Genomic DNA, 9,178 nt, shown 5'->3' with positions numbered 1-9,178 from the left:
TACCTACATGCAGTCTCAATTTATGATTTAGTTCATCCTTAACTGAGGTTCTGTTTCTTTTTTAGGAGAAGGGGAAGAATTAAGATAAATATGAGCACTGTGTTTAATTCTTTTTAAAATCCTCATGCCAAATCTGTCCCCCATGCCCTTTTTTGCACCTGTAATTATTTTCCCAACTAGAACTCTCACGTGGTAACCCCAGCTCTCGTCTGCCCATTATTCTTTAGTTTCATATGTTTAAAACCTTAAGTAGTTTCTCACTTGTTTACCTTACCATCACCCTAAACTCATATTAATATATAACCTGACTTATAATCTGTGCCCATAAGTCTCTCTTCTAATACTGCCATTTTTTATCAACAGCCCTAGCCTACCATAGAGCCACTTTGATTTACATTTTTAATGGTTTTTTTCCTCCAACATTTATTAAAGTTTGACCACTTTCTTTCTAGTTCAGTGTTGGTTACTGGGCCTTGAATGACTTCATAAGTTCCAAGAGGAGGCCCACCTCTCTTCCAGTCAGCCCATAAGCTCTGTGAGGAGCCTCCTCCTTGCTCCTCGTGCTATGCTCAGCACCATGGACAGTGCCAGGCACACGCAAATAGTGCAGCCTCGAATTCAGACTTTTAAAGTATTCTTCGGTTGACGCTATACAAAGATGTTCATTATACAAATTTAAGCTTTTATTTTATTTTAAACTGCATCCTCAATAGTGTATTCTTTTTTTCCAAAATCTCCTATTTTGTGACTAGCACAATTACACTACATTGCAAATTTTTGGTACTGTTTTATGTTAAATGAGCATAGCAAAATATATCAAAATTTTTGTAAGATTATTTGTATTTTTTTAGTTTTTATTACACAATGAATCTAAAAAAAAAGAGTTGGCTGAGGGCTCTCCCATTGTCTGAGAGGCCCTGGCCTCAGCTGCTCTCACATTTTTATTAGCTTATGGTGTCTTGAGTGCATTACTCAGAGGAGTTCATAAAGTTCTGGTAATTGTGTACAACTTGTACCCCATCATGCCTGTGCTGAAGTTCACATCCTGGGCAAAGTCAGGGCTCAGGAGCGTCATCTGACATAAGTGCTCTGACACCTCAAATGTTGACCTGGTCAAATCTATTTTCTCTGTTTTGGTCGACTCTCCTTCCCCTACTGGCTCCCTCACAGGCAATTATCTTTCCTACGTCTGAGCTTTTACCCATGTCATTTCCCAATTTAAACAACCTCTCTCCATCAGTTTTTAAAATACCCATTCAGGTCTAATGCCCACCCAGACCTTCTCCAAAGACTCTGCTGTAGATCGCTCACAATAATACAATATGGTCAGAGAATGTTGCATATTTTATATTCTTCTTTTGTATAATTCTCTGCTTCATGCTTATAGTTTTAACCCCCAAAAACATTCCAAGTGTCCTTGAAGTTGAGAGTTATTCCTTCATTTATTTAACAAGCACACATTCTAAATCATTTGTCTTCCTGGTCAAATGGAAGAAAAGGCACTGAACAAATAAACATACCTATGGATCCATGGTTATAAATGGTGATAAGCAAAAAGAAATGGAACCAAATATTATGAGCAAAACATATTGACTGAAGATGTGATTAAGAGAGAAAATGACAGAAAATGATGTAGTGTAATAAATCAGGGGTGGGGAGATTCTGAGAGAGTCTTGGAAGTCACTATGAAGAATGTAAGATTTTATTCTGAGGACACAAGAGGCCAATGAATGGATTTAAGAGAGTGACATGATCTTTTATGCATTCTGTCACATATTTCTATGAAGCAGCTAGCCCAACTTGAAATACATGGTAAATCTTACTATTCAGTCCCCATGAAAGAAAAGACGAGCAATGGTGACTGCGTTGAATTAGCGCTGAGTACTTTCAGAAGACCACGCTCAGTAGTGGCCTCTACTGTTATAAGGGAACAGACTGGAAAAGGCCGCAACTTGCTGTTTTGCATTCCTCTTTTCCTTCTCTACCAAAATATCTTGTCAACTTAAATAATCTGGTCAATTTACATAAATGGTTACAGTTCATAGATTCAGCCTCCAGTTATTACTCCTAAAGAAATTTTATTTTGAACAGAAATTTTTATCGGAAGTGATTTTTGACATGTTTAGACTCTTTAATGAGTTGAAGCAACTTATGTCTCTTTCAGTTAAGAATAAAACTAAACACATGAAAAGTGTATTATCCTCTCTTCATGCTCTTCAAAGATGCAGCTAAGGTAAAATTATGTGATATGTATGGTTCATCTGTATATTGAAGTCTCTCTCTCTCTTCATCCATTCAAATACATAGATCAGCCATGATGACTTTTTTCCTTCATTCAGTTGACAAGTAGGTATTAAGCACCTATGTGATGTATAAGAACTATTCTAAATGCTCCTGGGGCAAAATCCTGAAAATGGACAGCAGAATGTATTATTCTGCAATCACTTTGCCTGACTTACCTCACCTATTTGTGGATCCGGAATTTGATTTTCATTGTTACCGTCTTTGAATATAAAACTGAATGTGAAATTTAATTTCCATTGCCCCTACAGCTGGTGTTTGGCTCACAAGGGGGAAGAATTTATCATTTTCTAAATGAGCCTTCCATCCATGGCAAATACATTTGAATGTTGATGTTTTCCATTCTCTTTTGTACCTTGCTAATCTTTGGGGTACAACAGACCTGATATTTATGTTCCCAGTAGCTGGACTGTTTTATAACTAATTTAATATTTTGACAGCAGTCATTTCAATGGTAAAATATAGTTGCTGTTTACTAGCGTCTTTGAGGCAGGATAAGTCTTATTAAAAATAAGAATACTTTTTTGAATGCCAATGCAACTTTCAAAATGAAAATCCCATTTTGATTACCCTTAAAAATGCTTCAGCTTCTAGTCTTGGGAACATTTTTTACTTGATAGCTACCTGGAACTTGGGCAAAAATGACAAATATACCTTTTAAATATCTTTCTTCTGTCAGGGTAAATGACTGGTTTTTAAAAAAATATACAAATAAATAAAAATAAATATCTTTCTTAACTTACTAGCCCAAAGCCAGAATATTTGGTCATTCATGGAGTTCATCAATCTATTTAATATAATTATCTTATAATTTTCACCAAATAGTAGTTTCATGCATTTTATTTTGTATTAAACAATTCCACTAGTTTCCAAATACTATTGATCAGCATGTAATAGTTTATTATAGCATAGTGTTTCAGTGTGTGGCTTTTGGAGAAAGTGGATTTGGGTTAAAGTTAGGGCTAGAGTTGTTCAGATTTAGGCTTAGGTCTGGGGTTAAGGTTGTGTTTAGGATTAGGTTTAAGGTTGGGGTTCAAACCTTGGTTTTTAATCTTCTAGCTATACTTTATCACCAAGAGCAAGGTATTTAACTTAATTGTTCCTGAGTTTCCTCATTTACAAAAAGAAGATGATGGCACCTAAATTATATAATTCTTTCCAAATTTAAATGTTTAATACATACAAAGTGTGCCTGGAATGATGGAAGAACTCAATACAATTAATTTTTCTTCTGTCAAATTTGAATCTGACAAAAACACTAAGCCCAATCATTTCTTTTTTTGAGACAGGATCTCACTCTGTTGCCCAGGCTGGGGTGCACCAGTGAGAGATCTCGGCTCACTGCAACCTCCATCTCCTAGGTTCAATCAATCCTCCCACCCAAGCCTCCAGAGTAGTTGGGCCATGTTGCCCAGGCGGGTCTCAAACTCCTGAGCTCAACCAATCCACCCCCCTGGGTCTCCCAAAGTGCTAGGATTACAGGAGTGAGCCACCGCGCCCTGCCTTGTCAATATTTCTGCAAGATAAATGCTTATTTTGAAGTCTTGGTAAAGCCCGAGAAAAAAGGTATGGCAATTTTGTATGGCTCCTTGTCTCCTTGCTCTCAGTCTGCCTTTATTGGGATTTAGATACAGCACAGTGGAGCTATGTCCCCACTGTTTCCCCAGGCTTGGAAGTGCAGCTCCAACTCCCAGAGGCACACAATTTACATGCTCAGAGTCACTTAGATATTATGAGATCAGTTCAGGAGCAGAAGATTACAATTTAAAGCCCATCAAGTGGCATTTTAAAGCCCATCAACTCAGAGAGCTTAGAAGACAAAGTTTTTTTCTGAGCTCCTTCACTCTGAGGTATGACAGATCTCGAACTACAGCCCGTCTTCGAATTTTAGTCATTTCTTTCATCAGAAACCACCAGCCAGGTTGGTAAGTCTGGTAAGACAGGAGTTTGGAAATGCATCCATAATGTTGCTGCAGGCCAGTAACGTCCTTAGCAGTTACTAAAATAGTAGGCCAGTGTAAGGATATGTTGACTCTTGGATACTGCTACACCCTATGGCTGACTTGCATTTGCTATTTACACCTGTGGTTCTCAGGCTGAAAGCCAGGACTCTTGTAATAAACTGCCACTTCTGAAGAGGGAGACTAAGATGTCTGTTAAGATAGGAAAAGAGAAAGAAAATAACATTTGTACTCTGCACAGTTTTATCTAATAAATTGGCATAAGTTGGTCAGTCTGTTATTCACTGTGAATTCCTTAACTGCCCTTGATGTAATTTAATTCTAATCAGTTATAACACACCAGGAAAGAAATTGCTTAGACATGCAATCTTTCTTAGAGCAACATATTATCTTCAAAAGGAGAATTCCTCTTTGAATTTTGAAGCACCTGTGGCCTCAGGGCAAAGTGATGACTACTTAACCCAAGGAAAAGTGTCCCTCTGGGACTTTGACATGTTTCTCTGGAGCGCAAGGTCATTTTCAAACATCCTACCAGAAATTGCAGAGGAAGACACTTACATTTTGAAGGCGTAGAGTCTCATTTAGGCCAGTGTTATTCTATTTTGATTAATGAAGCAGTGAGCTATTTCCTAAAGAATATGGCAACAATTGTGAAGAATTCATTTACCATCAGAAGGTGAAGGAATTGTAAACTGGTGCAGCTCAAACGCTGAAAATAGCTCTGATATAGACAGGAATTATCAGCTCGTTTTCTAAATGAAGGAAATGAGGCACCCATCTTAAATGATTCTGTGTGTTAGGGGTTATATTTGTGTCTCCTACATATCTCCATCAGCATAGGATGGAGAGCAAGGTTACGACGAGCATTGACTAAGTGCCAGGCACGTGCTGCAATGCTGTGTTTTATATGGCTCTATGTGTTTTATATGGCTCAACTTCACAGAAACTCTGGGATGTTGGTACTGTTTTCATCTTTGTTTTATAAATTAAAAATATATTACATATGTGTGACACAGAGTGGTTTAGTGGTGAAGCTAGGATTGAACTGAGGCGCCCTCTCTGTGAAGTCTGTGTTCCCAACTACCACTGTGCTGGCCCTGAGTGAAGAGACACAGAACTGTAAGAACTGGTTCTTGGTAAGAGAGCTGGAAGGAAAGGAAAGAAGCTGGAGAAGCATCAGCAGAGGGCAAATAAAGTGAGGTTTGGGAAGAAGGATGCTTTCAGCTGAGAAAAATAAGCATCTGTGGGGAGAATCCCATAGAACAGGTTGGAAGAGAAAGTATGAAAACAAAGGACTGTCCTCTTTAAGACAAGGCACCTGGTCATCTTTTCCCTCTTACAGCCACAAAGGGATTTAAGACATGTGCAAAAAAAAAAAAAAAAAAAAAAAAAAAGAAAAAGCAATTATCTGATTCCTTGCAGAAGTAAGTTGCCTATAAAATAATACCTTGGAATGCTCACACCAAGCTATAACCATAATTCAGAAGAACAAAAATACAAGCTAAAGTCAGCAAATCTTAAAAAGTATCACCCAGTTTCCCTCCTCTTCTTCCTTCTTGCAAAGCCTCCTCTGCCCAGTGGCTGGTGAGGACTCTACAGTATGGCCTATTCCTCAGCAACAGCGTCCAACCCTGGGCACTGCCCAGTAGCAATGAAAGGAGAGGCTTCTTGACCAAATTAGTTTTCATATTCAGTGAAACACTGAGCTACAACAAATTCGAGACCTTTGAGTCATTGATTTTACCATATGATTTGATGACACACAAAACTCTTTGTCCGTGACTTTAGGTTTAAATCTTAGTTTGAAGCACTCTCATTAGTTCCAACACTATAAATAGAAACTATATATGTTGAAAGTCTGTCATTTCCCATGTTTCCAGCTGTGTATGTGGCATGGAAGAGCCTCCATGAGGGTCCCTAAGTGAGGGTGTGGGTCTGGGTGTTTGTGCATGCATGTCCATGTGCATGCAACTATCAGATGTGATAAATGTCGTGTTTTCCATAAGGATGGCATGATGAAACCACATGTGATTTAAAAAGGCAAATTAAAGAAATAATGGTATTTTTCAGTAGAACAGTGTGAGCAATAAAGCATGAGGAGTGAAATCTGGGTCATTTTCAAAAAAAGCAAACTTTTCATCACAAAGATAACCTTTTCCTTGGCCTTGCTAAAGCAGCTTTCTAGGGCTTACTTTTCACTTCTATAAAAATAGGAAACCTAAGTGTGACTGAGCTGAGATTACCCACTTTGCTGGAAGAAAGACTTGGGTTCCAGCTGAGTGTGGTGGCTCACGCCTATAATCCCAGCACTTTGGGAGGCTGAGGCAGGCAGATCACTTGACTTCAGGAGTTCGAGACCAGCCTGGCCAACATGGTGAAACCCCATCTCTACTAAAAATACAAAAATTAGCTGGGTGTGGTGGCAGGTGCCTGTAGTCCTAGCTACTCGGGAGGCTGAGGCGGGAGAATCCGTTGAACCTGGGAGGCAGAGGTTGCAGTGAGCTGAGATAGCACCATTGCACTCCAGCTTGGGTGTCAGAGAGAGACTCTGTCTCAAACAAAGAAAAGACTTGGGTTCCTTTTCCCCCGACAGCAGTGATCACCTGTGGAACATTATGCAAGTTGTCTAATGTCTCTCAGCCTCCATTATCCTCTAGAAAAGAAAGACATAGCAGTAGTGCCTATCTCCCAGTGTAAATATGAGAAAGATAAGAGAAGATACATACAGAGTGTTAATGAACCCCAGCACACAATAAGTGTGCAAATGTTTACAGCTGTAATTATTCATACCATCTGAGATTTCTGGTTCTACCTAGGTACTTAAAGGTAGGCAAGTTCAGCATTACCAATTCCATTTCAGTTATTAATTAAACTTAATTTTATTAAGAGTAATGTTTATTTTACTAAAACGTGATTTCACTTCTTCGGGCAGCACTGAGCTGCTTTTTCCTTGTTACAGACATCAGTTTTTTGCTTTGACCTTTCTAGTATTTTAGTCTCTGCGAAACTTTGAAAGAATAAAATGATTACATTAGACAATGAATTAGAGTGTGTTTCCATCCAAACTAAGGCCTCACAACATTGGAAATTTGAAAATCACACATATAGAGTAGTTTAAATTGAAGCTTGCTTATAAAAAGAGGAGAAATCGGAGATCCACAAAAGTTAGATGATTGTCCATGACCTTATAATCCTGCCAACTGATCACCTATCCCAAGTTTAATCTCCTATAGCTCACTTGAACCATATCTACACATTTGTGTCCAAGTGACAAGTGTCTACTAAGCTGGCCCATTTGAAGGATCTAAAATTAGAAACAGATCAATAAAAGTGCTGTTCAAGATATTCAGGGAGAAACAAAGCAACTTCTTAGGGATCACTTTTCGTATTTTAGTGAAAATGCATTTAGCACATTAAAACCTCCTCCGTGGCACACTCCATTTCAGCTGGTGTTTGATGCAGTGGTAACATTAACTACACGGTATCGGCCAGCCCAGCTACTAAAAGAATATATCTATAAATGATCAACTCAGTTTCGAATAATCTTACAAGAAGATACTTATTCATGCTAAAATGTGAAACTAGTGCAGAAGACAATGCATTCCATGAGGGCAAAATATACGACTTCTTCATGTATATTCCCAAACTTTGGCATAGTGGCTATTATTCAAAAATGTATACAAAATAAATGAATATAAAAGTAGGAGTTAAAGCAATACAGAAAATCAACACAACCAGGGTTTTTTGTTTTTGTTTTGTTTTTTTGCAAAGGTCAACAAAATTGATAAAACTTCAGCTGGACTGACCAAGTACTACCGACTGAATCATGAGACGCCAAAATTCACGTGTTGAAGCCCTAACTCCTAATGTGACTGTACCTGTATTTGGAGACAGGGCCTACATGGGGATAATTGAGGTTAAATGAGGTCACAAGGGTGAAACTCTGCTCTAATAGAATTACTGTCCTTTTAAGAAGAAGAGACATCAAAGACCTCAGTTTTCCCACACATGCACCAAGGAAAGGCCCTGTGTGAGTGCGGCAAGAAGGCAGCCCTCTACAAGCCAGGAAGAGAGCCCTCCCTAAGAACCACATCAGGTGGACTCTTAACCTTGGACTTCCTAGCCTCTAGAGCTGTGAGAAAGTTAATTTTGGTTAAGTCCCCAGTCTGGTATTTTGTTATGGCAGGCCAAATAGACTAATCCATCAAGCAAAAAAAGACAGAAGACTCAAACTACTAAAATCAGAAATAAAAGAAAAATGACCTTATAGAAACAAAAAGGATTATAAGGGGTTATTAAGAACAATTGCATGGTGCAATTTAGGTAACTTTAATAAAACTGACAAATTCTTAGAAAGACACAAACTACTGAACTAACTCAAGAAGAAAGAGAATATTGAACAGTACCATAACAAGAAATTGAATTTGCAACTAAAACAAAACAAACAAAAAACACCACACTGCTCACAAAGAAAATGCCAGGTCCAGATGGCTTCAGTGATGAATTTTACCATATATTTAAATAAGAATTAACACATATACATAATAAGCACTTCCAAAAAAATTAAAAGAGGAAGAAACACTTCCCAACCCATCCTATGAGCCCAATATTACCCTGATGCCAAAACAGAGAAAGATGTCCCAACAAAATAAAACTATAGACCAATTTCCCTTGTAAATATAGATACAAAACTCCACAAAACAGTAGCAAACTAAATTTGGCAATATATTGAAAAATTAGGCTGGGCGCAGTGGCTCACTCTTGTAATCTCAGCACTTTGGGAGGCCGAGGAGGGCGGATCACGAGGTCAGGAGATCGAGACCATCCTGGCTAACAGAGTGAAACCCCGACTCTACTAAAAATACAAAAAATTAGCCGGGCGTGGTGGCGGGCGTCTGTAGTCCCAGTTACTCGGG

At 38.5% G+C, this 9,178-nt stretch overlaps 1 annotated feature.

Annotated features, from left to right (window-relative positions):
* Positions 469 to 669: a silencer, noted in NCBI's record as "peak7023 fragment used in MPRA reporter construct". NCBI's record gives its function as "represses an SCP1 promoter by STARR-seq MPRAs in K562 erythroleukemia cells {active_cell/tissue: K562}" and the evidence as "EXISTENCE:reporter gene assay evidence [ECO:0000049][PMID:32103011]".

The sequence above is a fragment of the Homo sapiens genome, chromosome 8 (genome assembly GCF_000001405.40).
Source record: "Homo sapiens chromosome 8, GRCh38.p14 Primary Assembly".
Classification (NCBI taxonomy): Eukaryota; Metazoa; Chordata; class Mammalia; order Primates; family Hominidae; genus Homo; species Homo sapiens.
Note: the sequence above shows the minus strand (reverse complement) of the source record. Positions and strands in the feature narration are given on the sequence as shown.